Source organism: Homo sapiens, chromosome 18 (genome assembly GCF_000001405.40).
Source record: "Homo sapiens chromosome 18, GRCh38.p14 Primary Assembly".
NCBI classification, from domain to species: domain Eukaryota; kingdom Metazoa; phylum Chordata; class Mammalia; order Primates; family Hominidae; genus Homo; species Homo sapiens.
This window is the reverse complement of record NC_000018.10, coordinates 59,533,767-59,560,640: the sequence shown is the minus strand read 5'-3', so window position 1 is coordinate 59,560,640 and position 26,874 is coordinate 59,533,767. Positions and strand designations below refer to the sequence as shown.

General features: G+C 42.2%; 1 protein-coding gene across 6 annotated transcripts in view, besides 14 other annotated features; it reads left to right on the top strand.

The window, feature by feature from the left end:
• Positions 1–26,874, top strand: part of CCBE1 (collagen and calcium binding EGF domains 1) — a 266,783-nt gene that overhangs the window by 137,081 nt on the left and 102,828 nt on the right. The gene's annotated exons all lie outside the window — the stretch shown is intronic.
• Positions 12,304–14,023: a meiotic recombination region, noted in NCBI's record as "meiotic double-strand break mapped by DNA meiotic recombinase 1 chromatin immunoprecipitation followed by single-stranded DNA enrichment and sequencing in the germ cells of some male individuals with the PRDM9 A/A, PRDM9 A/B and PRDM9 A/C genotypes". NCBI's record gives the evidence for it as "EXISTENCE:chromatin immunoprecipitation-seq evidence [ECO:0000229][PMID:25395542]".
• Positions 12,304–15,121: a biological region, named in NCBI's record as "meiotic recombination hotspot L".
• Positions 12,356–14,255: a meiotic recombination region, noted in NCBI's record as "crossovers mapped in sperm cells of males of European ancestry". NCBI's record gives the evidence for it as "EXISTENCE:DNA detection assay evidence [ECO:0005519][PMID:18650392]".
• Positions 12,671–13,184: an enhancer, noted in NCBI's record as "NANOG hESC enhancer chr18:57214689-57215202 (GRCh37/hg19 assembly coordinates)". NCBI's record gives its function as "activates a minimal SCP1, AML or CMV promoter by ChIP-STARR-seq in naive and primed H9 embryonic stem cells {active_cell/tissue: H9 hESC(naive and primed)}" and the evidence as "EXISTENCE:reporter gene assay evidence [ECO:0000049][PMID:30033119]".
• Positions 13,361–13,373: a nucleotide motif, noted in NCBI's record as "nucleotide motif; similarity, but not exact identity (7/8 nucleotides), to the predicted 13-mer PRDM9 A binding motif (LD hotspot motif), CCNCCNTNNCCNC". NCBI's record gives the evidence for it as "COORDINATES:motif similarity evidence [ECO:0000028][PMID:18650392, PMID:19165926]".
• Positions 13,414–13,426: a nucleotide motif, noted in NCBI's record as "nucleotide motif; similarity to the predicted 13-mer PRDM9 A binding motif (LD hotspot motif), CCNCCNTNNCCNC".
• Positions 13,462–13,477: a nucleotide motif, noted in NCBI's record as "nucleotide motif; similarity to the predicted 16-mer PRDM9 C-type binding motif, CCNCNNTNNNCNTNNC".
• Positions 13,505–13,520: a nucleotide motif, noted in NCBI's record as "nucleotide motif; similarity to the predicted 16-mer PRDM9 C-type binding motif, CCNCNNTNNNCNTNNC".
• Positions 13,529–13,544: a nucleotide motif, noted in NCBI's record as "nucleotide motif; similarity to the predicted 16-mer PRDM9 C-type binding motif, CCNCNNTNNNCNTNNC".
• Positions 13,547–13,562: a nucleotide motif, noted in NCBI's record as "nucleotide motif; similarity to the predicted 16-mer PRDM9 C-type binding motif, CCNCNNTNNNCNTNNC".
• Positions 13,569–13,584: a nucleotide motif, noted in NCBI's record as "nucleotide motif; similarity to the predicted 16-mer PRDM9 C-type binding motif, CCNCNNTNNNCNTNNC".
• Positions 13,589–13,604: a nucleotide motif, noted in NCBI's record as "nucleotide motif; similarity to the predicted 16-mer PRDM9 C-type binding motif, CCNCNNTNNNCNTNNC".
• Positions 13,717–14,107: a meiotic recombination region, noted in NCBI's record as "this region was identified as a recombination hotspot within the HapMap YRI population". NCBI's record gives the evidence for it as "EXISTENCE:nucleotide sequencing assay evidence [ECO:0000219][PMID:20981099]".
• Positions 13,720–15,121: a meiotic recombination region, noted in NCBI's record as "this region was identified as a recombination hotspot within the HapMap CEU population". NCBI's record gives the evidence for it as "EXISTENCE:nucleotide sequencing assay evidence [ECO:0000219][PMID:20981099]".

Sequence of the window (26,874 nt, the reverse complement as noted above, 5' to 3'; positions counted from 1 at the left end):
TTGTTTAATCCCATGTAGGTCTTTTTTTCTTTTTAAGTTATGGGATACGTGTGCAGAACGTGCAGGTTTGTTACATAGGTATACATGTGCCATGGTGGTTTGCTGCACCCCTCAACCCATCATCTAGGTTTTAAGCCCCGCATGCATTAGGTATTTGTCCTAATGCTCTCCCTCCCCTTGTCTCCCACCCACTGACAGGCCCCGGTGTGTGATGTTCCCCTTCCTGTGTCCGTGTGTTCTTATTGTTCAACTCCCACTTATGAGTGAGAACATGCGGTGTTTAGTTTCCTGTTCCCGTGTTAGTTTGCTGAGAATGATGCTAACTGCTTTTTTATTAAGGAATACTGGAGTTCAGCTCCCTTCCACAGGTGGGACCAAAAGCCTATGGGCATACCCATGCACTGCAATAGGCCCTAGCCAAAACTATCTGTGGTTACATGCACATCCACTTCAAATGGGCATCCCTGGCTAACTACCTGTAGGGCTTGTGCCTGCTATATAGTCTGGCTACCAGAAAGGCTGTTCCAGCCTTGTCATCCCAACTCCCAGGCAAGAGGGGCACTGCTGCTTCTAAACCTGCAAGAGAATCAGAGGTTAGCATAATATCAGTAAGACCATGACATATGGTAGGGCTATGCATATAGCCCTGCAGCAACACTGTGAAAGTCCATTGTCACCCTCCCATGAAGGCAAACCGTTCCTGGCTCTTGGTGGACTGTCCCGGTTGCATTGTCCAGCGGTCCATCAAGTCCATGACAGAGAGTACAGCTGCCAAGCCGTGTGAAACATCCACCCCCAGAATATCTTCAGGCATGGGAGAGACATGCACAGTGCATAGGCAGAGAACTAAATGGCTGATGCCAAGACGCAGAGACACAGGTTTCACTTCCACTGACTGGCCTTCATAGCTGTTAATAAATGCAGCTCTGCCCAGAAACTTATCTAGGTTCAGGGACCAGTAGATTCCCAAGTCCACACGTGGTCTTTGGTTATTTGGAGTCCCCCAAGCCAAGGACCTTGGCCAGTTCTGTTATTAAACACAAGAGGCTTTATGCTTCCGCCAGCTGTAACAGGTATTCTTTGAACCGGAATGCTTGGATGGGACTGGGTTGCGCAGCAATGTCCTTCTTCCGAATGACTTGCACTAACTCTGTACATGACTGCCGACATTACTTGCTTAACTCCCACAACTTGGCGGGGCACGGGCACCACAGGAAGTATGCTCCACCACAGTAGGGGGCCTCTGGGTCCACCTGTGGGGCCCAAGAGCTGCTTATGCTCTATTTTCTGACAGATCACTGGGTAAGCCTGCAACAGAGGTTTTTCTTCTTCCCTGTGCTGCGTCCTGCAGGGACTGGACATGCACTTCCCACAGTGCAGTCAGAAACACCCATCCAACTCAGCCAGTAAACGCAGCTTGTTGCTGTGCACTTCCAGATGCTTCAGCGCCATCTCCACACTTGCAGGAGACCCCATCTACTGCCTCCCATATTTCCACTGGGGCTCATCCAAGCAGCACCACTGCCACTGAGTACCATAGCCCATGCTGCAGCCACACAGCTAACCTAGGAGCCCTCAGGGACTGAAGACCCACTCACCTCATCCCATCCTCATCACCAATTGTCAGATCCCGGGGTCCAGGTCCAGCCCATGCTGAAGTCCGAGGGGAGTGAGTGGATGAACAGAAAGAGCACTTAGGGGGCCGTAGGCAGGTGAAACGTGATTTTATTCAGCAGTAGCTCTCTTCAACAGCTTTCTCAAACTAGCTTTCTCATCACCAGTTTACTCTCCCACTGTCCACCCTGTCTTGGCTGCTGGAGCTGGCCACCCCCATACACAGCTGTGCAGTCAGCTCTTCCTTGCCTTCAGGGTCAGCAGCTTAACTCTTTCTCTGGGCACAAGCAAGCTAAGCTGTATCCTGGCTCCTTCCTCTCCATTTGCAAGATGGACAGCTTTGGCTCTCTCGTTCTCTGGGCACCAGCATGCCCGCCATGTCAAACCATATTGAGCCAAGCCAAGCCCCAAGAGCCCCTGTACAGCATCAGCAGGGCAGTTATACCTTTTACAGGCAATAGTGGTGTAGAACCAAGAGATGGTCCTCCCATGTTGTGGCTACATGGCTGTGATAACAAGTGGAGTTATACACATGTGCTCTAAACTCACTGAGTCACTCTGGCTGGACATCTGCCTCAGCCTATTCCTTGACCAAAGTACATCCATGTACCTTATGGTACTTTACAGATTTAAGCATTCATGAGTGAATCTGAAAGCTCTCATAATCTAGTCTCTGCATTCTTTGACTTTCACCATTTTGTGCAGCTGAATAGCATTGTGCAAGGAGTCCTGTTCTTCTGAAGTCACACTTTCAACAACCTCAACTAACTAGAAGACTGCTGAATTGAGAGAAACTGTGTTCATGCTTTATTTCAAAGTGGACTTCAGTTTCTGTGTAAAATTATGTTCCCTGATTCCATAAGCCAAGTGATCTTGCTTTACTTCAGCTAGCGAATTGCGAATGATGTTAAGAAAGGGGCCTTGACAATCCCTTAGAAAGGAGACATAAGATACACGTGAGTCACCAAATAGAAAGCAGTCTTCGGCTCCACCTCCGGGGAGTTTTAGGGGTTTCTCTTCCCCACACTTACCATGTTATGTCTTTGAAATGCAGGAGTGGTTATGATAGTGACATGGTCATCAAAAACAAAACTTTATATCCATGCGTAGTTTAATAAAGGTATTGTTACCAGCGGAGGGTCTTGACTAAGAGTGGTCCAGGTTCTTGGTGTTTTGAACAAAGAATTGGACAAAACGCACAAAGCAATGAAAGAACGAAGCAGCGAAAGCATAGATTTATTGAAAAGAAAGTACACTCCACAGAGTGGGAGCAGGCTCAAGCAAGTGGCTTGAGCACTGGTTACAGACTTTTCTGGGGTTTAAATCCCCCCTAGAAGTTCCCCATTGGTTACTTGGTTATACCCCATATAAATGAAGTAGTGGCCTATGATCAAACAGAGGCTGAAGTGAAGTTAAAAAGTTACTACACCCTATGCAAACGTCTGACTGGTTGCAGGAGGGGACCAATCAGAGGTACTTCGTATTTCTCATCTGCAACACAGTGGAAATGGGGGGATTGCAAAGGGAGTAGCCCCTGATCCTTCTGTTACTTGGGTGTGGAGAGGTGGGGTTTTCCTTTTGACTCAGTTCTAGGAAGTCAGTGAGAATCGGCCTGAAGTTCCCTGCCTCAGTATGTGTATCAGTTAGGGAATCAGACAAGCAGAAACTGAGTGATGAGGGATGCTCATGCAGTTGTGTGGGTGCCGACCCTCAAATCAGCAGGGCTGGTATTTGGAGAAGAAAGATGAACTCACAGTGGGGAAAATCAAGGATGAGCTCAAATCTGGAGGACAAGCTAGCATCCATGCCAGTCTCCCAGAGGCTCTAGGCCTCTAACTTCCACATTGCCTGTGACATGCATGGGAAGCTGGAGTCCTCTGCTGGGAGCTTCACATGCTGGCCTGGGATGCAGAGAAGTTGAGCTCAGTGGGAGTTAGAGGGATTGGGGCCCAGCTGCTGGCCTGTGAGCTGCACCTGGTGCCCTACACTGACCTTGAGAGGGTGCAAACCAGGTTGCTGCTGTATATCATCTTCCAAATCACACACAAGATACCCCTGGTGGCCAGCACTAATGTGAAACATGGCAGGGCTGGGAATTCTGAGAAATACAATTCCAGCTTAGCTGGGCTGATGCAGCACAAATGCAGCAGAGTTTGAAAATGTATAAATATTCCCATAAACAATGCAAACAGCTTTGTCTATTTTAACCTTAAACTATTCATAAAATTGACTTGTACGGAATACCTCTTTCCTTGGACATTTCCACTTCAGTGGGAACAAAAAACCTCAGTGTGGGTTGGAAGAGTTACTATGACAATGTATTGATTTTTTTTCCAAATAATTGTTAATTTCAGAACTGATTTTATCCTACTAATAATACCTGGTTCTCTGAGCAGAAAAGCACCCTTTTAATTAAATTCGGTCACACAGGTCATTGCCTGCCCTTCTACTTGTGCCCTGCTGCGGGGACTCTGCTTCCAGCTGCCTTTAATATTGCATAACCCTTTGTCTTCTGCAGCTGGATCACATTCAATAAGTAATTACAGCACATCTGATTAAGGTCACTCCCAGAGCGTTCATTAGTCATCTGCAGGAAAGAATGCTGAGGAGGCATATGTTACTGCAGGTCACTTTCCCCTGTCCTGCTGATTGGAGTCCTCCTCGCACTCTGTACTCAATCATGGCCTCCACTTTAATCACTCCTGGAAGACAAAACACAGCTGGGCCCTGAGAACCCCAGGATTTGTCTACAACTCCAATTTGGCTCTGCTGAGATCTCAGGGGCTCATTGAGGACAAGACACCTTGTCTGTATTTCATGCATTTCCCAAAGCAGCCCATGACAATGCCACAGCAGGTAGGTCAGCCAAGGTGTCATGCACGGCAGGAACCAAGCTGGAGGCTGGATATCAGGAAGGAGGAACAGAGGTCCTGGGCCCCGTTAAGGCTGACATGGGAGCTTGCAGAGCTGAGACCTAGATACCCTCTTCTGCACGAATCCTGAAAAAGATGAGAATCTGAAAGCTCTGAGATCTGTAAAGTGTGCTTTGTTATCAAAGCTACATATAGCACAGCTTCCCTCCGGCACTTTCTGTGACACCCCCAATCTCCTGAGCTGTGGGTTTAGTGCCAAGGTGAGACTTCATTTATAACAAACAGAATTGGTCTGTTTCTTCAGGATGTTTCAACTGTGACTGTAACATTGACCTTCTTTTATGCAATATAAAGACCCCAGGGCTGTTGGCATTCTTATGTGGTATGGCAGCATTTATTTTAAACCTCTTAGATTTATGAAATGGAATCGGTCTGTTTCTTCAGGATGTTTCAACTGTGACTGTAACATTGACCCTCTTTTATGCAATGTAAAGACCCCAGGGTTGTTGGCATTCTTATGTGATATGGCAGCATTTATTTTAAACTTCTGCACGTTCTGAGCAGCACTGAAGACTTCCACTGTATAATATCTCCATAACCATTTTTTTCTAAGGAAACTGCATGGCTTTCTTCAAGTCATTGTCTTAATTTTCCTGAAATAGAAATCTAAGGCTCTAACACAACCAAATTCCTGAATTATGACACTGGACCTGGGCTTATGGAGCAGAGATGGAACATGACACCTGTTCACAAACACAACTGGAAGAGACAGCAAAAGCCAAAGATGTAGGTCTTGGGGCAGTTTCATAGCCTTGACTATAATGTATCTATTAAAATGTGCCATCAAATTCAACTCCTTCCCTCCCAAGAGAGCTAAGGACCCATATGGTCTTTTAAACTTTTAGTCATTTGAGCACTGAGCAATCTGTGTTTCTCCTTGTCAAAGTGTTTTTAAAATGTAATTTCAAGAAAAAAGTGTTCCAAATTCTGAGATTATTTACCACCATATGTCTCATTATTCATGTGGAATGGGTCACATTTTCAATTTACATGTTGAAACATGAAGGACACATACATGCCTGTCTAGCAAGTTGTTGGGGGAAGAATACAATGAATGTTAGAATGAGAGAAATCTAAGGAATCATGTCCCCTGACAACTAAGTGGCAAAACCAGTTCTTGGCTTACTTCAGGTCTGCTGCTTTATTCTCTCCAGAAAATGGAGCATTCTGTCAGAGACCTGCGGTCTGACTACATTCTGAGTACATTTGCAGGTAGTGGCTAGGCAAGGGGAGAAGGGCCATGACCTGCACTCTGGAACCTACCCCTTCTTTTGTCTCCACGGGGTTGTCCTGTCTGGCTGGAGGAGGCTGGTAACCCCTGCTGGACTATGGGACCCTTTCTCAACCACCTTCTCACATAAAATCTCTCATGTAATAGGGAGAGAAGAGAGTCAAGTAGCCCATGAACATTCAACAGATCTGCCTTTTGAGTCCTTAAGAGTTAGCCAGTGTTGGCCTGTTCTATACTAGAGTTCATCCTTTTATCTCAAGTCCTCTGGCCTCCCTGCTTCTTGGGACTAGTGACTCAAAGGCGAATGGGGACAACATAACCAGTCAATACAATATAGCTATTTTGGTTACTCAGAGGACCTTTGGCTTAATGGCAAAATCAAGAAACACCTTGTCTGTGCTGCATAATCTAGTTTTAAGTCATACCATCATGTAGAAAGACTGTGTGTAACATGGGATGCATGCACATGGTCTTAAAATCAGAAACAAAAGGTAGAAAATCATGAAAGAGAGCCAGCTCCTCTCCCTGAAGCCATTACTCCAGATTCAAGCTTTTGACCTGGACAGAAGTATGCTCTGGTTCCAGTCTGGGCATGGTGGCTCATGTCTGTAATCTCAGCACTTTGGGAAGCTGAGGTGAGAGGATCGCTTGAGTTCAAGACAAGTCTGGGAAACATAGCGAGACTCCATCTCAACAAAAAATAAAGTTAGCTGGGCATTGTGGGGAGTGCCTGCAGACCTCCCTACACAGAAGGACGGCTTGAGCCCGGGAATTACTGGTTGCAGTGAGTTGTGATCGCACCACTGCTCTCCAGCCTAGACAACAGAGTGAGACCTTATCTCTAAAAAAACAAAAAGTACACTCTATCTTCATTAATTCGAACATTGATCATTAACCAGACCTGTCTTCCAGATGTTATGTCCACAGCAGTGACTTCTCTAAAATCTGAAAGGAAAGGGAAAGCTATTGGCCATGCTTTGTAATACACAAATTTATTTTAATTACACTTGCAGAACTAAAAGGATTGCTCTTCCTCTGGCCTCCGGGTCGCCATAGTGGTGGCAGAGGCTGCAGTGTTGGAGGAACACTTTGGAATCTGTGGCTGACCCGGGTAGCTGAAAACAGCAGTGACATTTCAGTACCACTTGTCAGTTTTTGGCTCAGTAGCAGAAGGCTGCCTACAGAGCACCTAAAGTGTATGTTTCCCAAATAGGAGTGGCACTGCGACTGGTCTGGATCATGTACAAAACTTCATCCTCTTTCCTTCAACACAGGAACAGGAAGGATTTTAATGGCTTGAGTTTATGATGCTATTGAAAAGGCACTATCAACATTTCCCAGCAGCTACGACTCCATATCCATTCAGGGACCAGCAGCCCATCTGTTGATTTCCAAGGCAGGGCTGTTAACTGCATCTGGGTTACATATGCCTGGCCAGTTCAATGGTTGTGTGTGTGTAGCAATCTTTGGTTGTGCATGACTGTAACAACCTCTCAGGGTCTCAGTTTCCTCTTTGGTTCAGTAAGAATGTCCCCTGTGCTTTTGAAGTCTGTTACATGTGCTCATGCTTGAATGAGACTGTGTTGCATCAATTGAGCTATAATGCAAGATCATTAAATTAATGACTGTGATGAAATGAGGGTAAACTCTTTCTCCAGGGTAGACTGGCTGAGTAGAACAGGGACTTCTTAAAATTATGTCACATTAATTTGGCCAGAGGTTTGCTGTCCTAATGATCTCAAGATTAGGATGGGCAACCTTCTGTACACAGGCTATAACCAGCGTGGCTAGTGGTGGTGCATCCCAACACATGGAGGAGGAGATCCTCCTCCTCTTACACCATAAAAGAAGGTGTAAGTGTAGCAATGCAACTAGAGGAGACTACCATTCCATCTCTGCCTTATCTCCTCAGTGTTACTGTTTTATATCTTTGTATGGCTGGACAGGTGGGACAGCTACATTATAGATCAGAGGAAGTTTAGCATCAATTCAAGGAGGAAACTCCCTCCTTAACCAAATCGAAACATTCATTTCAAAGACATAAGTGTATGGTGATTTTGTTTTTCAAAGTGATTGGTTACATTTGTTCCTTTCACTAGAGAGGCAAGTGAAAATACTCCAGACACATCTTCCATCAGCTGCCTCTTCACATTATGATAAATGAATTTGACCAGGTATTTCCCTTTTTTATTTAGACTACTTCCCACAGTAAAGTGATCTTTCCAAACCAGGTTTACTGATAGAAAAACGATGTGGGAACTATTGCCAACTTTGAAATACTCTTCTTTTGGATGATTAAGTCAGCAAATGGATACTTGGCGAGTGGAAGCATAAAGAGATGTTGGGTTGGCTCCAGGTGCTGCCAAAACCTAGATGTAGGCTAGTGGGAGGAAAGTCTTTGTTAAGACATATAATCTTGACAAAAGCTGGATGGAGACAAGAGAAGTTCTTTTTGTGTGTGCCCCATATAAGTTCATGAACTGACCCTCTGACGAAACACTCTACGTGTGTTACTTCATAATACACAAAGGCGTGAACATCCTGGGGGAAAAATGCTCACAATAATTTGCAGGCCTTTAAGAGGGAGAGTCCATTTCTTAACTCCTTGTGGCTTTCATTGACTGGTAGAATGTGCCCGAAGCGATGTTGTGTGAGGTCCAGGGCCTGAGCCACAAAGAGCCTTACCACTTTTTGGAATGTCCCTGCCCTCATTTGAGGAAGTCCAGGCCAGACTACTGAGTGATGAGAGGCCCATGGAGAAGGGCCAGACGGTAGCTGGCACCAAGGTACCAGTTGTGTGAATTGAGGCCATCTTATACCCTCCATCCCCAGGCCAGCTGTGAGCCAGTTACAGCCATGAGTGGCCAAGGCGTGCGTTGCCCAGCTGAGCTTAGGCCACATGGAGTGCAATGAGCAAATAATGGGTGCTGGTTTTCAGCCACTGAGTTTTGGGGTAGTCAGTTACACAGCAATCGATACCTAATGCATATTGCAGACGAAGAAACTGAGCACTAGGAAGACTAAATAACTTGCTCCAGGGTTCTAGAGGCCATAGATGACAGTCAAGATTTGAACTAAGTAAGTCTTTCTGACTTTGAATTCCCCTTCGTTTGTCCATGTCAAAAGTATTCCACTTCAACAAAGAAGTCCTGAATCACTGGAAATGTTAATAGTTTTTTAAAGGACTAGTCTCTTATAAACAGATGGTGACCAACAGTAGTGAAAAAATAATTAGTATTTAGTCATGTGCTACACAATGGTGTTTCTGTCAAGGATGGACCGCATATAGGACAGGGGGTCCTGTAAGGTTATAATGTAGCTGAAAAAATTCCTATCAAGCTAGTGATGATATAGCCATGGTGGCATCGTGGTGTGCTTTACTTTTTAATTTAGTGCAGCCTAAGTGTAGAGTGTTCATAAAGTCTACAGCATTGTACAGTAATGTCCCAGGCCTTCACATTCATTCCTCACTCACCCATCCAGAGATTCTTCCGGTTCTGCAGGCTGTACTTATGGTTAGTATCCTCTATAGGTAATAGGTATATCATTTTTTATATGTTTACTGTACCTTTTCTATGTTGCACAAATACTTACCATTGTGTTACAATTGCATACAGTATTTATTATCACGTGTTGTACAGGTTTGTAGCCTGAGAGCATAGGCCACAGCATACAGCCTACATGTATAGCAGGCTATGCCATCTAGGTTTGTGTAAGTATGCTCTGATGTATACACAATGATGAAGTTACCTAATGATGCATTGTTTAGAACTTATAATGCATGACTGTATTTTTATTTTTCTTTTTTCTTTTTTTTCTTTTCTTTTCTTTTCTTTTTTTTTTTTTTTTTTTTTTTTTTTTTTTGAGTCTCGCTGTGTTGCCCAGGCTGGAGTGCAGTGGCGCGATCTCAGCTCAGTGCAAGCTCCGCCTCCTGGGTTCATGCCATTCTCCTGCCTCAGCCTCTAGAGTAGCTGAGACTACAGCCGCCCACCACCACGCCCGGTTAATTTTTTGTATTTTTAGTAGAGACTGGGTTTTGATCTCCTGACTTCGTGATCCTCCTGCCTCCGCCTCCCACAGTGCTGGGATTACAGGCGTGAGCCACCGCACCCAGCCCACATGACTGTATTTTTCTGTCTCCATGAGTTGGAAAATGTTTTCCAAAACACCTTCAGAGAATGGCACCTGCTGTTTGGGGTTTGCATTAGGATTCTTGAGCTGCTAATGTTCTAACGTCACAGGGCTCACGGTTTGGGCAGGCCTAACTTGTCTGAGGTGCAGCTTTTCCTTTCCTGAGGGAACCTATGAGTACTTTTGAGTCCAGTCCACTTGAGGAAGGAAAAGATTGACCAGGGAGTCAGCCCACTGCGGAGGGTGGTGTTGTGAAGGCTTCTGAGTGCAGATGAAGGCCCTTCTGAGCAGCGACGCCACCAGTTAGGATCCAGAAAACTCTCTAAAGGCCAGATAGTTATTTTAGGCTTTTGAGGCTAGATTGCCTCTGTCACAACCACTCAGCTCTGCTGTTGTCACTCGAAATCAGCCATAGGCAATGTGGAAACAAATGAGTATGGCTGTGTTCCAGCACATTTTATTCATAAAACAGGCAGTGGACTGGATTTGGTCCATGGGTCATAGTTTGCCAATCCCTGAATTAGAGGAAGCTTGCCCACCAAGAGGCTGCTCCAGAGCTTGTGGTGGTTTTGCTGGCTTGGGTATCTATAGGGTTTGAATGATGACACAGTCTCCAGGTAACTTTTGTGTAAACAAGCTAAAGCTGGGGATAAACAAAGCAAACCGGATTGGACCCAGAGATGCTTTAAGGATTCCTGAAAGTGCCCATTCCAATAATGTCCTTGCCCGTTGGCTCCAGAGAAAGCCAGGCAGCAGTCCAACAACCATCTGGCACAAGGTCCTCTATTGTATCCTTGGGCAAATTACTCTGAGTCTCAGCTTGCTTATCTGCATGATGGGGAGGATAATGGGCAGACTCTGCAAAATGAGTGGGCCACTAATGTCACATTGCTGTACTCTTTACCCCATGCCTATTGAGAAGAATCAATTTCAGTGCAATCACTGACCAATGTGGATAGCAGCTGTAGATTATAAGTGCTTTGTTGTCCACAAATTTTGCTAGGGACAAGTTAATTGCCCAACTGGGTACTATATCACTGCAGCACATTTGACTGCTGGGCCTGCCTGTTCATCATATAATAATTGGTGTGTTCTGGCATCTCCCTCCTGACAGTTGCTCAGGTATTAACAGAAGTCAGTGGGACTTGGAGTAAGGTCTTTGCTGTTCCCAAGGTCTTAATCACCTGACTGACAGAGGTTACCTTCCTGAGCCCCGGTGCACCAGATGGAGTTTATTTTAAAAATCAGCTTCAATTACTGCAATAAAATATTAGACGCTCTTAATTCGGTTGGCGTTGGGGGACCTGTTTTTATAGCCCTTGGTGGGGTGCTCATTTGTATCATTTGCTCCTTCAAACTGGAGTTTGACCTGAAATTCTTTAGGAGATGGCATAATAAGAAAAACAGAAGAATAAGAAGAATGGCTTAGCTAAAATTTGCATTCATCCTGATGCATTATTTTTTACCAATGTTACATTTCTAGAACACTGCTATATTTGAATCATACCTTGCTATTTTGCAGTGTGGAATATTTTATACTTGATCACATGTGAAACACGGTGTGGTCTATATATCCAAGTGAAAAGAAGACCCTCACCATGCAAAGTGAATTTTTTTTTTTTTTTTTTTGAGACGGAGTCTTATTCTGTTGCCCAGGCTGGAGTGCAGTGGCATGATCTTGGCTCACTGCAACCTCTGCCTCCCAGGTTCAAGTGATTCTCCTGCCTCAGCCTCCCGAGTAGTTGGGGTTTCAGGAATGCGCCACCATGCCCGGCTAATTTTTGTATTTTTAATACATAGGGGGTTTTGCCATGTTGGCCAGGCTGGTCTTGAACTCCTGGCCTCAGGTGTAACTTTCCTATGTTTAGATGCACAAATACTTACCATTGTGTTACAATTGCATACAGTATTCATTAGTCACATGTACAGGTTTGTAGCCTGAGAGCATAGGCCACACCATATAGCCTACATGTATGGTAGGCTATTTGAACACCTCAGGTAATCTGCCTGCCTCAGCCTCCCAAAGTGCTGGGATTACAGGCATGAGCCACTGTGCCTGGCCCAAAGTGTATTTCTTTGCTTGTGGTGTTCTTGGTTGTAAGGGCTTTCTGCAATGGGTTGGTCAGTTGGTGATTTCATTTGCATGACAGCAGCTGATTTTCCCTATGTAGGGTCTCTCAGGAGGGCTTCCTAGATTTCTTTTTTATATGATTGCGTCTTGTCAGATCACAGGAAATTTAAGTTGCTCTGTTCTTGTTCTTGAAAGGAATCCTGATGACCTAGCCACACCCTGCAATCTCTATTCACCCTAACCCACCTCCTTCATAGGCTGGAAGATCAAAGCCATCCTCTTAAGTTTTCCTTTAGATATAACTCACTATCTTTAAATAATGGAAACCAGAGAAATCAGAAAGTATCCATATAATTTTATTGTCTTCATGTCAGTACAAATGTTCCCACCTGCTCTCCTAACAAAGATATCTTTCTTTTAAAGGAAAGACCACTGAGTGAGAGTGAAGGGGCATAGTCTTGGCCCCAACAAACCACTGGCCAGTGATATGATCTCGGACCTCAGTTGTCTTACTCATAAGACGAGACTGTCTTGGATAAACTCTTGGTCTCTCTCCAGCACTCTTGAACATTTCATCCAGCAGATAGTTCACATCACGTGATGGCACTGTGACCACATTTTCGGTTCTTTAAAGCACTTCAATTCACTGAGTGTCTATTTCTTCATTCCAACCACAAGGAGAATAAAAGTGCAGTGTGTGAAAGTAAAATTCTTCAAAATCCTGGCCAAAATGCCCGTGTGTTCTTATTTCGGTCAGGTTGCACTTTCCTGTGAGAACAGGATGATCTCGGTTTTCTCCTGCTGAATCAGCTGTGGCAGCCAAGCAGGAAGAGCCTTCCTAGTGCCCCAGCACTCTGCTTCTGTCAGCATGCTTCTGGGCCGCCCAGACGTAGCCCACACCACTGGAGGTCTCACTGTTTGCATACATTTCCTTTGTCTCGACCATTTCATGAAGTGTAGCCAGAAGTACTGTCAGCACTCATTAGACCAAAATTGTCTTCAGCTCAAAGCAAATATTTTGTGTGTTGAAATCTTTATCAGGTGTGTGATCCACGTCCCAGGAGTGCTTTTAATGAGCTGTGAGATGTTGGTCATCTGTCACCTTCAGTTTTTTGTGCTAATTTAAATTGCTCTGTTCTTGTGGCTGATGATGCCCTAATCAGAATCTTCAAAGCTGCCCTCTCCCTGGGGCCAATTTTCTGTCTGCTATTGCCTTCTGGACATGTCAACTGCTAGTTGACATCTTGAAAACAGGGCTCTTTGTCTTATCCCCCAAATCAACTTAACTTGCCCAGTTTTAATTTCTGCCAGGAGCTCTACTGTTTTCTCTAAGGTCAACTCGAACTCCAGATCTATGACTGCTCTGTCTTATTTTTTCCACCTCCCTGCTCCCCTCAGATAACCCTCCCCTCACCTGACCTCAGGTGATCTGCCCGCCTTAGCCTCCCAAAGTGCTGGGATTACAGGCGTGAGCCATTGTGCCTCTCTCTCCCTCTCCTTTTCCCTCTCCCTCCCTCTCTCTCCCCTCTCTCTCCTTTCCTCTCTTCCCCTCCCTCTCCCTACCTCCCTCTCTCTCCCTTTCTCTCCCCCTCTCTCCCCCTCTCTCCCCCTCTCTCCCCCTCTCTTTCTCTCTCCCATTCCTCTAACCACAGCCCTGATGGTCCTGCTTTAAACCCCATGTAATTCTCACCTGGGCTTTTACAATATTTTACTAACAAATTCACCTACCTTTCTTCTTTTAATCTGTTTTACTGCTAGAAAAACAGAAAAAGAATGGCCAAGCTCCACAGATTGGATGAGATTGCTATGGATAACTCAAAGTTCTGTTGATTTAGATAAAAGATTGTTTTAAATTACTATAGACACAAAGCCTAGAAGTAACATATTTGACTATGTCACTTTTGCCATATAGAAGATTAACATGTTTAAAATGCAAAGAACAGACTAAGGAAAATATTTACCAGATATAATGTGGGAAGGGATTTGGATTTCTTAACTATAACAGGTTTCTACAAATTAGTAAGAAAATACAAAAATAGATCAAGGATTTTGTTTCTTTTATCTATTGCTGTTGAACAAACCACTTCAAATAGTTTGTTCAAATGGTTGTTCAGCTCTTTCTTCATATGGCCTTTCCTGCAGGGGACTGGGCCTCTGTGAAATGGCATAGGGTTCTAAGAGGGAGCTACACAAAGATAAAAACCCCACTGTACAAACCCTTATCAAGCCTCAGCTTGGGCTATGATGACTAATTCACTGTTGACCAGAAAGAAGTTACATGGCCAAGCCCAGAGCCAATGTAGGAGGTGATAACATTAGAGTGTGAATATGAGGGGTGATTCATGGGAAGCCCCCGTGTAACAGTCTACTACAGATACGAACAGGCAGTTTATTGATGAAATGGGGATGACTCATAAACACAAAAAATACACAACTTCATTAGTCAAAGAAATGCAAATGAAAACGAAAGGCTATTTTCATTGGAAAATCTACAAATATTCAGCATATAGTTCATATCTAGTGTTAAGCTTATAGAAGAATGTCATACGTTTTGGTGAGAGAATAGATTGACCCTTTTAAAGGGTTGTCAATGCATTTCAAAAGAGAAAAAGTTCATGACTGGGCCAATTCCACTTCTACATATACAGGTATTCCTATAAGCTCCCTAGAATGCATTATATAGGGATGTTGATTGTATTAGTTCATTTTCACGCTGCTGACAAAGAGACGTACCTGAGACTCAGAAGAAAAAGAGGTTTAATTGGACTTACAGTTCCACATGGCTGGGGAGTCCTCAGAATCATGGCAGGAGGTGAAAGGCACTTCTTACATGGCAGCAGCAAGAGAAAATGAGGAAGATGTAAAAGGGGAACCCCCTGATAAAACCGTCAGATCTCATGAGACTTATTCACTACCATGAGAACAGTAAGGGAGAAACTGCCCTCATGATTCAAATTATCTCCCACTGGGTCCCTCCCACAACACATGGGAATTATAGGAGTACAATTCAAGATGAGATTTGGGTGTGGACACAGCCAAACCTTATCATTGGTATTTCATTATTTGTAATTGCAATAAACTAGAACATGAAAGTCCACGAGTCAGGGAATGGGTAAATGATAAATCTATACTAGTAAATACTTAGAAGCCATAATAAGATGAGTTAAATCTGTATATACTGACGTGGAATGGTATCCCAAATATTTTGAGTGGAATAATATGCATTATGTGTGACCATTTCCATGAAAACAAAAATGTTGTGGGTGCTCACACCGATATAGAGAAAAGGGTCTGAATGAGAAGTGAAATTGTGTTGAGAGTGCATACTGAGTTTTTTACGTACTTCTGAATATTTGGAGTCTTTTATAATAGGTATTTACTGTCATTATAGGGGGAGAACTGAAGTCTCCTTTAAAATGTTTGTATATGGATATATACACACATATATAGAGATGCATATATTTACAGCGAGATACCGTATAAGAGAGTCCAGGAAGGTCCGTGGATACCTGAAGATCTGCTCATGGAACCTTTCTCTTTATGCCCTCTAGGCTCTCTTCAGCTTATTTTCTATTCTGGAAAAATTAAGGCCTGTGAATAACTAGTAATTTAAATAAAAGGCATATCTTATGACCTAGTTTTGAGCTCTTTCAATTGTATATTGATTGTATTAACATAAAGCTTCATATATTCTGTTTTGTCAATGTCTGGAACTAAACTTCATATTAGATGTGAAGGTTTTCAAAAGTCAGGACTCTACCTGATATTGTGCTAAATGTTCCAATTCGTTATCAACTACTCATTGCATTCCCTAACACTAATATAGAAATAGGTATAAATCAAATCAGGGTTTCCTCTTAAAAGGTATAATGGAAAAAGAGACCCAGGTGAATTTCTGTGATATAAGTCTGAACCAGCCCTTTTAAAATGCCCTTTCTTTGTCATACAGATGAATCTTTGTCATCCATTTTCCCACCTCTTTCCCTCTTTCCCTCATCTCCTTACTAAGAAAGACAACGTTACTAACTTTTCATTTTGTGCTGTGAAGCTCTTGAAACCATACCAATGGAAAAGAGGACCTCGAAAGGGAAAGGGAAGGACCTGAGAGAAAAACATTCCTCTTCTAGTTTAGAGCACCTGCAATACATGGGTGCATGTGAGCTGCAAAAGTACATCTTATGTAGTTTGAAAAGATCATTTGCAGGATGGTATAAAATCATGTCCTTTTTGTAAGGAAAAAGCAATTGTTCAGAAATACAGAGTTTTTATTTCATAATGGTGAGGGTTAATTTTAAAATTTCTTAATAAAAAGCCTACAGCAATGGATTTTTAGCAGACAAATACAGTTAGTGATTCTATTTTGCTTTATGGTTCCATGGAAAGGATCAGTTAAGCTTCAAGGAGGCCAAAAAGGAGCATAGTAAATCAGCTCTCCTTTCTGGGAGTTAGAAAAATCACCTACTATGTGGCTGATACAATTAAAATATTCCTGTAGTGCTTTGAAATCGGCTGCTTATTTGTTATCTTCTGATAGATATTTTATAAATTATTTTAGTTTTTGTGTGTTACAGAATGAATGTAGATAAAATTTAAATAGAGCACTTAATATTTTACTTTCTAAGGAAAGTCTGTTTTCATAGACTACAAAAACCAAACATAATAAACCCCTGCTTCCAGAATACGTGTGTTTGAAATTTGACATTTTGCATGAAAGGTGGTGATGCTCGTTTAAACACAAACAGAATCCCAGAACTGCGAGTGTCCCTCTCATTGCTTTCTGATTCTCGCATTAGTGTTTTCTGTTTTTTTTTTTTTTTTTTTTTTTTGAGACGGAGTCTCGCTCTATCTCCCAGCCTGGAGTGCAGTGGCGCGATCTTGGCTCACTGCAAGCTCCACCTCCCGGGTTCACGCCATTCTCCTGCCTCAGCCTCCTGAATAGCTGGGACTACAGGCGCCCGCCACCACACCCGGCTAATTTTCTGTATTTTTAGTAGAGACGGGGTTTCACCCTGTTAGCCAGGATGTTCTCGATCTCCTGACCTCGTGATCTGCCCGCCTCGGCCTCTCAAAGTGCTGGGATTTCAGACGTGAGCCACCGCGCCCGGCCTCTCGGGGCCTCTCGCGGCCTCTCGCATTAGTTTTATGGATACAATCCTTGTCTTCAACTTAACCAGCATCATTTTTTCTAAGTTGCACAGCTTACCTGAAAATCATATGTACATAATCAGACTCTTTTTAATCCTAAATATTAGCCATATAGAAAATTTTAAGTCTTTTTCTGGGAGGAAAACAATAAAAATACTTTAATACTGTATATTTCACTGAAAACTTTCCCTAAATAATATTTAATGAATGTTTGCAGAGGCCTGGCACAGAATTCTAGATTCGTTAGCAGGATTTCTTCAGGTATGGTGCGGGGATCACCTACATTAAGTCCAGGAGGAGGTCATTTGTGCAGAATCCTAGGCCCCTGGGAGTCAAGGGTGGGGCCCTGGACTCTGCATCTTCACCAGTTCCCCAGGTAACTTTTTGTGTAAAATATGGAAAGCATTGGGATCCAACTAGAGCAATCCAAGGCTTCCCGAGAAGGAAGCCAAAATTTGGAGGAGAATCTAAGTTATACTTGTTGGCTTGTTACTTTAAAAATTTTTAAGAATTTTTAAAAAGAGGGAAAAGGCAACTTTCTGGGTGGCCTGGGTTTGGCGAGATCTTGGAGGCATCAGCCTTCATCCCTAGTGGGGTTCGAGAGTTCAGTAGTCATGGGGGAAGCCATGTGTGGCCGGCCATGAGAAAGAGGGATGTTGGTGGGTGAGAGCTTCAGAGAAGGTTCAGCTCTATGAGGCACTTCTGCAGTGGCACCAGAAGGGGAGAGTAACCTAGAATTACTGCCTGCGGGGAGGAAAGGATGTGTGGGAAATGGCACTTCAGAGGCATTCCAAAGCACCCTCAGTCCCGTACTTTCTTGGACTCTTGGCCAGGCACATTTTAGCAGTGGTACTAGTTTCCCAGCACTATTATATAAATTCTTTAAAACAGTGCTTGCCTTTTTTGATATATTCCATTTTTTCAGATGCATATGGTGCAATAGAACATTAAGGATGACTTTCTTATCAGCCCTATTAAGCTGATAGTATCACTTCTTCTGATCTATTACAGGAATTCTTTTTAAGTGTCTGTTTTTATAATTTTAAAAATCTGTTGCTTTCATTTTATATAATTTCTCATCCTTGATGCTTTAGCTTTGCTTTGAGAAACAGAATTCTGCCTTTGTGGAATGTAATTTATCATGCCACGTGTTCATAAAAATTCTAGAATCTCGTGTTGTAAAAGGTCATTAGATTTCATACTGTCTGGATACCCCTTAAATTCAAGAATTTATTAAGATTTCTACCTGAATATCTCTAGCAATAGGGCACCCAGGCAGCACTGAGAAAGCATAGTTCTTTTAAGGTTAGCTCTAATTGTAGGGAATTTTTTTTTTTTTTTTGAGACAGGATCTCACTCTGTCACTTAGGCTGGGGTGCAGTGGCACACTCACAGCTCACTGCAGCCTCGACCTCCTGGGCTCAGGTGATCCTCCCACCTCAGCCTCCGGTGTAGCTGGGACTACAGACGTGCTACCATACCCGGCTAATTTTTGTATTTGTTGTAAAACAGGGTCTCACCATGTTGCCCAAGCCAGTCTTGAACTCCTGGGCTCAAGCTATCCACCCACTTCAGCCTCCCAAAGTGCTAGGATTGTAGGCATGAGCCACCATGCTTGGCCACAAAGATTTTTTTTTTTAATTAAGCAGAAATGTCTCCTAGCATCTGGACTCTTTAATTCTAACCTTGCTTGGTGATAGCAGCTGGAAGAAGGCTAATCTGTCTTCTCCATCACATCCCCTCACCAATTTGAACACAGAGTGTGTTATCTTGTGTCTTCCTTTTCCGAAATCTTTCCCTTCAACTCTTCCTCCAATGGCCCAGTTTTGTGGCTTCCTCACTCCTCCTGCTGATCTCCATGGGATGGCTCCAGCTATCAGTGACCCTTAAATATGGACACCTAGGACTGACTCCTGTTTCTCGGAAGATCTGAATAACAGCATTCAGAACTATACCCCCCTTTTCTGGAAACTGCACATATCTACTGGAGTAGCCACCAGGCTAATGACCCTCTCCAAAAAGATGGTGAGGTTATTTGAAGTGCCTGTCCTTAGTGAATCCATTTTGATTCCAAATGATCCCTGTATCTCTGCCTCATTATTACAAGGCTCTACTTAAATTATTTAATGTAGAATTTTTTGCCTATGTTTGGTATAAACCTCCCTGACATATGGTGTTGAAATTCTCCTGTTTGTCCTTGTTTTTAGTTTCCCATCATCAGAACATTTGTCATGATTTTCCCTTCTTCTCTGACTTAGAGTACTGAATAGAATTTAAGTGAACAAAGTCTCTCAAAACAATTCTACTTAATTCAAGTGTAATAGTAAACATCATCCTACTAAACAATGAAAAGGTGAGTGTTTTGCAAAGCTACCATATATAAATTATAATGTCATTATGGCTACTCTAACCGATTAATGACATGATGATCTCATTGTATAAGTGAAGAACAATCTCAGACAGCTTAAATGAATTGCCCAATGTTCCCACGTGAGAAGGAATGAAGGAAAGATTCTTATGTGATTCTTCCTGCCTCTAGGGACTAGGTCTTTGAGTTGATATTTTTCCAGCAGCCCAACTACTTTCTTCTAAAGCACTGGCTGGACAGACACTGTTAGTTTCTTAGGGTCTCTATCATGATTTTTGGGGCAGGAATTGATGAACTTCTTCTGTAAAGACAAGACATTAAATATTTCAGGGTTTACCGGTTCTGTAATCTGTTATGAGTACTTAACTCTGCTGTTGTGACCTGAGAGGAGGTAAATGATATGGAAATAAAGGGCATGTCTGTGTTCCAAACAAAACAGAAAGCCAGTTTGCCAACACCTGTTTTAGAACATGAATTCATTTGGGAAGACATAAAATCTTGCAACACAAAAAGATTGGGTTCATTTGTGGAAGCAGCCATGTTAAGAAAATCAGTGGGGAGAAGAGGACTAAACCACTGCAGTTTGAAACTGTAGGAAGTCCAAAAGGAACAAAAACAAAAAATAGAATGACAGCAACACCCCCTATTTCCCTCCTCCCTATTACCACACACACTTCATACCAAGGTTGGCCACAGTTCAGCTAGAACATGGACACATGGGCTCAGCTTCACTGGAACATATTTGACTCTGAATTATTTCAATTTATTTACAAGGGATGTAAATTGTACTGTCTTTCTGGGTCCTATGTAATATTTCTATATGTAATTTTCTCAGATAATGGATGAAAATTAAGCTGTTGGCTTCTTGGGTTTGATCCATTATGAATACTAAAAACCAACAAAAAAAAGTCTAATGTTTAATTGCCTTCTATAATTTATTTCTCTCAATGGAGGAAATGTTAAGGAGTACTTATAATAAGTTTATCAATTTTTCAGAGATAGTATTAGTGAATTAAATATATTCTAATCATTTATAAATGCTTCCTATTTCTTATTAAAGGAAATGAAAGGTTTATTTTGGAACTCAAAATTTTATGGGTCCAAGATTATACACTGATCTTCAAGTCAACTAAATTCATCAAAGAGAATTCTGGAGATTAATGGGTAGGGAGAACTTACCAAATAGAATTCTCCATGGGGCAAGAACATATAGAATTTGAAAAAAGCTTATTTATTATAAATTATTTTTCAAAAGCAAACAAGACTCTGTGTTTAAAATGTAAACTATAGAAAGTAAAATTAAAAATATTAGTCTGGAAAAACATGACCAATTGAAAATTTTGGTTGATTCTTATGTGAGTTTTGGAGCATATTCATGCAATGTAAATTTTGGGAGAAAAGGAATTTTTCATTTTAATTTAAATGGGAGTTTTAAGGAACCAGAAGATAAGGTCAGATTCATCCAGCCTTAGAGAATCATGATGATGTTACTGCCAATAGCCTTATGCCTTGTCTGATTTTTGTCATTTGTGTTAGTTATCTATTGCTGCATAACAAAATGCTCCAAAACTTAGCAGCTTAAAATAACACATGTTTCTTGCCCTTCGTTTCTGTTGGTGAGCAATTTGGGCCCTGTTTAGCTGAGTCCTCTACTTCAGAGTCCCTCATAGGCTACAATCAGGTGTCAGCTGAACCATAGCTGTTCTAAGTTTGAAGGATTTGCTTCCAGGCTCATATGGTTATTGGCAGGATTCAGTTTCTCATGGGGCGTTGGACAAGGGCCTCAGTTCTTCGCTGACTGTTGCCCACTCTCAGTTCCTTGAAATGTGCCTCTTCAGTGTGGCAGTGTTCTTCATCGAAGCATGCAAGCCACAAGGCCCCAGGGAGAGCCAGCAAGATGGCAGTCACGGTCTGTCATTATTTTCTTGCTGTTTTTTTTTGTTTTTTGTGTGTGTGTGTGTGTTTTTTAAATATAGCAGAGTCCTGCCCTATAGCCCAGGATGGAGTGCAGTGGCACAATCATAGGTCCATGCACCCTTGACCTCTTGGGCTCAAGCGGTCCTCCTGCTTCAGCCTCCTGAGTAACTGGGACTGTAGGTGCATGCTACTGTGCCTGGCTAGTTTTTTACTTTTCTAGAGATGGTATCTTGATATGTTGCCCAGGCTGGTCTCAAACTCCTGGCCTCAAGCGGTCCTCCTGTCTCAGCCTCCCAAAGTGCTGGGATTACAGGTGGGAGCCACGAACCCAGCCTAGTCTTTTATAACTTAATCATGGAAGTGACTTCTTGTCACCTTGCCATATCTGCTGGTTAGAAATAAGTCCCTACCCTCCAATGGGAGAAGATGACACAGGGACATAAATACCAGGAAGCCAGAATCATTGAGATCATTGTAGATGTCTGCCTATCACAGACCTCTAAATTCTGTCAGGCTCATCCAACTTAAGAAGTTGCCTATAAATGTCACCAGCATTTTTAGAACTTATGGCCCACTTTTGACTGTTTACTCTTGTCCCTCCTCACGTCAGGCATTTTTTTTTCCCCAGGATGTCATGTGTAGCACCCTTTGGTGAGTAATTCCCACAGTGAAATACATATATTTCAATGCCATTAAGCTGTCCTTTGACAAATTTGTGTTACTTAATCAGATGGCCAAGAAAATATGTATGCTCTATGGACAGGGCAAGTTTGGGAGACATCAGCTGATTGATTTGCTTCTTGGCATTGCATCGCGCCTTTTCAAAGTATCCCAATAATAGATACAAAACTGTTTAATGGAGCTCAGCTGTTCCAAGGAAAAATAACTTTATCAGAGACATTTAGAAATGGAAATTAAGAGGAAACAAATGTGCATGTATATTTTGGCAACTGAAGATGAACATATCTTTGAAGTTCTTTGAAGTTTGGGATACATTGGGAATTTACTATGGAGTTTTTGAGAATGAACTCACCCGCTCTATAGCTTTTACTGTAGCTATTCAATAATAGAGTTAAATATACTCATGTTGTTCTTGACATCCTTGATTTATGGGACCATAAGTCTTTAGGTGCATTATCTTATTGGACGTATTTAGTGACAAGCTGTTTTGCTTAAGTACCACCTTGTTTTGACAATGTAGCCTGTTTTTAAGCATATTCCAAAAAATAGATTTTTCATTTACTATGTGCTATGTACTCTTCAAGGAGTTTTAAAGTAACTCGTTTAGTCCCCATAATACCCCTGGAAAATAAGCACTGTTATTATCTCTACTTTACAAACAGGAAAGTGACATGCAAGAGGTTAAGTGACTTGCTCAAGGGCACACTGCTGGGAGAGGACGGAGCTGTGAACCAGATTCTATTGAGGTATATCACGCATTCAAGTTTGAATGAGATGGAAAAATGTGTTAAACAGAAGGAGGAGTCACCAAATTCCTTTTGAGGTGACACATTGAAGGCTGTACACTTTATATACTTGCTGAAGTAAGAAACTTGTCAGCCACTGTATTAGTCCATTTTCACACTGCTGATGAAGACATACCCAAGACTGGGTAATTTATAAGGAAAAAGAGTTTTAATGAACTCACAGTTCCACGTGGCTGAAGAGGCCTCACAATCATGGTGGAAGGCAAAAGGCACATCTTACATGGCAGCAGACAAGAAAATGAGAGCCAAGCGAAAGGGTTTTCCTCTTATAAAACCATCAGGTCTCATGAGACTTATTCACTACAATGGGAACAGTATGGGGGAAACTGCCCCCGTGATTCAATTATCTTTCACCAGGTCCTTCCCACAACACGTGGGAATTATGAGAGCTACAATTCAAGATGAGTTCTGGGTGGGGACACAGCCAAACCATATCAGCCACACTTTGAGTATATGTCACCTTGCTTTGGCTGGCATTATTCTACAGAGACTGTAAATATGATAGACGACTCCAGAATCTGAGTTTGAAATTTAGAGACAAGATTAGAAAGTGGTAGTCTTGAAAACAGATCAGAACTATCATAAAATGGATTGAAAAACCCCAGCCCAAAAGATAGTTCTTAAGTCTTTAGCTGATAAGATCAGAGGTCTCCTGAATATACCCAGGGGCTGTATGCTAAGCATTAACTTTGCTTTTTCTAGTTTATATGTGAGCAGAAACATGAAAAACATCCATTTTTTTTTTTTTTTTTTGAGACAGAGTCTCACTCTGTTGCCAGTCTGGAGTGCAGTGGCACAATCTCTGCTCACTGCAACCTCTGCCTCCCAAGATCAAGCGATTCTCCTGCCTCAGCCTCCCGAGTAGCTGGGATTACTGGTGCATGCCACCAAGCCCAGCTAATGTTTTTTTGCATTTTTAGTAGAGATGGGGTTTCACCATGTTGGCCAGGATGGTCTCCATCTCCTACCCTCGTGATCTGCCCACCTCGGCCTCCTAGAGTGCAGAGATTACAGATGTCAGCCATTGCGCCCAGCCAAATGTTCCTTTATTTTCTTGACTTAGTGTCAAGAAATGGAGATGCCTGTTGAATACGTGTTGTTTTCATGGCTGTTGCATTGGTCGTTCTTATTTGTCATGTACACTATGACCATTGCCAAGTTGCAGTTCCCCTGGCACTTTCTTATTCTTACTTTTGTTTTTCTGGGAAAGTCGACATTTTCCCAGCCCAAGACAACCTTCTCTTCCTTTGAACATAGAAATCTTTTTGAAATTGTCTTCGGTATTTCCAAATACAAGCCCGTCTCATGCACATGCTGCAGAATTTGGAGGAGTGAGTCATTGAAGGAAGAGCTGGAGGGTGGTGCTCATGGTGTGGAAAAAGGAGAGGAGGAGGAGAGAGAGCCCAGGGAAATGATATGCAGATGGCCTGAGTGCCTGCCATGAGCTGTCCAGGCTCTATGCGGATGCTGGGCACCTCGCAGATGGCACACCGTCAGACTCTTGCACACCAGATGAGAAGACGGAAGCTCATAAAGATCGATTTGATCAAAGTTTCACTATTAGTAAGAGCTAGAATTGAGATTCCTATCTCTCTAGACTCAAAACCTATTATGGTTTTTTAATGAATTATTTCAGACCTTTACAAATGTTAAAGAATATCATAAAAATACTTTATATTCATCTGAAAAGAAAATGAAACATTACAAACAAAATTGAAGCCTTTGTTTCTTTCTCCTCCTCATAGAATTACACACCAGCCAGGCACCGTGGCTTGTGCCTGTAATCCAAACACTTTGGGAAGCCAAGGCGGGAGGATTGCTTGAGCTCAGCTGTTCAAGACCAGCTTGGGCAACATAGACTTTTCCTTAGGAAAAAAAGAGTACACACTATCCTAAATCTTGATTTTATTATTTCTGATAAATGTCCTTATATATGTACGTTTTTCTTAGCAATAAATACTGTTTTTCAAGTATTTAATCTTTGACATAAATGGTATCATGACTGTACCTATTCTTGTACAACATTTTAATGCTTTACATTGTTTAATACATGTAATATTTCTCTGTATGAGTATGTCATAATTTACATATTCTGTTGAACATTTGGGTTGCTTCCAAATTTTTCAGCTATTAAGAGCATTGCTACAGTGACCTTACACTCATATACTTGAATTTCTCAGTTTTCCCATCCCCTCCCATACTTCAGACTGGAGCTGCCAGGGGTAGTGTGCACACTTTGACCTTGGCTATGCATTGCATGTTACTTTTCATGGTGATTATGCTAATTTTCACTTGCAACAGCAGAGTATGAGAATTTCTGTTCCTCTCTACGTTCACTAACACCCGGTAATGCCGGGCTTTTACATTTCTGCCAGTCTTGGTGTGAAATAATTCACTGTGTTTTTAATTTGGATTTCTATAATTACTACTGAGGAAATTATCAAAAAGTGCCTCCCCTTCAGTAAGTCCATGCTTACTGAATACCATCTTCTTGTCAAGCCTCCAGCACAGTCTCAGCTCACCAGCGTTGACAGTCTCAACGTTTATCTTTCCAGCATCAAGGCTTCATGATGCTGTCAATCTCATTACTGCTGAAGGCAGAACTACAGCATGCTGAATGCCTCGTCTAAGATCAAAGACATTTTAGTGCAGTTTTCACAAGTCTTTCTGTTATATAGACTTGAGATATTATTTGGGGAAATTGGGGATTCGAAACTGGTGTGAAGGAGCTATCGTGTAACATTTTATTTGCCTCTCTAAAAGTCAGTAATGATAGTTTTCAATTTGGGAATTAAAAATGAGGGAAAATGAGTTTTGTTCTGTTTTTTCTTCTAAGCCTTGGCACCATTACTTATTACTACTTTTATCCTTCCCTCCTCATGCTCAAGAGAGCATTTCTATATGCATGGTCTGTTATTGGGAGACAGAAAATGTACAGGCTGTGAATTCCAGGCTACGCAGCTCTAGATCTGGGGCCAGAAGTTCTCCTTCTGGAACCAAACAATCTAGATGGAGCCTCATTCTCTACAGTGGACATCAGAAATGACCTGGACAGCTTGTGAAAACACAGCCTGCTGGCCCCACCTCCAGAGTTCCTGATCTCATAGGTCTTGGGTGGAGCCAAAACTTTTGCATTTCTAACAAGTTTCCAGATGATGCTGATGCTAGAGACCACACTGTGAGAATCACTGCTTTGAAGCAATGTACCCAAAAGTAGGGGAGGCACTGGACCAGGAAGCCCCTCTCAGACAGAGGATCAAATTCAGATGCAGGTTGTTATGTAATATTACAGCCCAAAGGCCTGGCTGGTTAGGTGTATGGCTGACTTCTATATTCTTCATGCTTTTAATAATATCCCACTTATTTTAAAGTCAGCATGTGTTTTAAAATATTAAGGACAAGACAAAAACCTCAGGGCCTTACAGATTTGGGATTCAATACATTTTTACTTTGATTTTCAACTTTTAAAATTCTAGCAAAGGTTTTAGTACATGATACCGAAGTTATAGGTGTGTTATTTTGAGGTCGGTAGACTTCTAGGAATGTATGACTAACCAAACTATTTCTAAGATAGAGTCAAACATTCATTTATCATTAGCCAACATTATCATTAGCCAACATCTTAGTAATCTATAGTCTTCCATGTATAGATCACTAAGGCGGAATCGAACACTTTTGAAAAGGAGGAACAGGGTGGTTATGGGGATTCTCCAAGTCAATTTTTTTCTTTGGAATCTCTCAATGAAATGGGTCATCTCAGGTTTATGGAAACACAGAGCACAGGACATATGATAGTAGAAACACTTGGTGATTGCCATTATGAAGTACATTTGTGCTTATTTAGATAAACGGATAAATGTGTTTTCACGCATATTGTATACATATGAATATATAAATTATATGCACATACAGCATTGATATATGTGGATCACCTGAGTAACTTGGATATCACAACCAAGATGATCTTTCTGTATAAG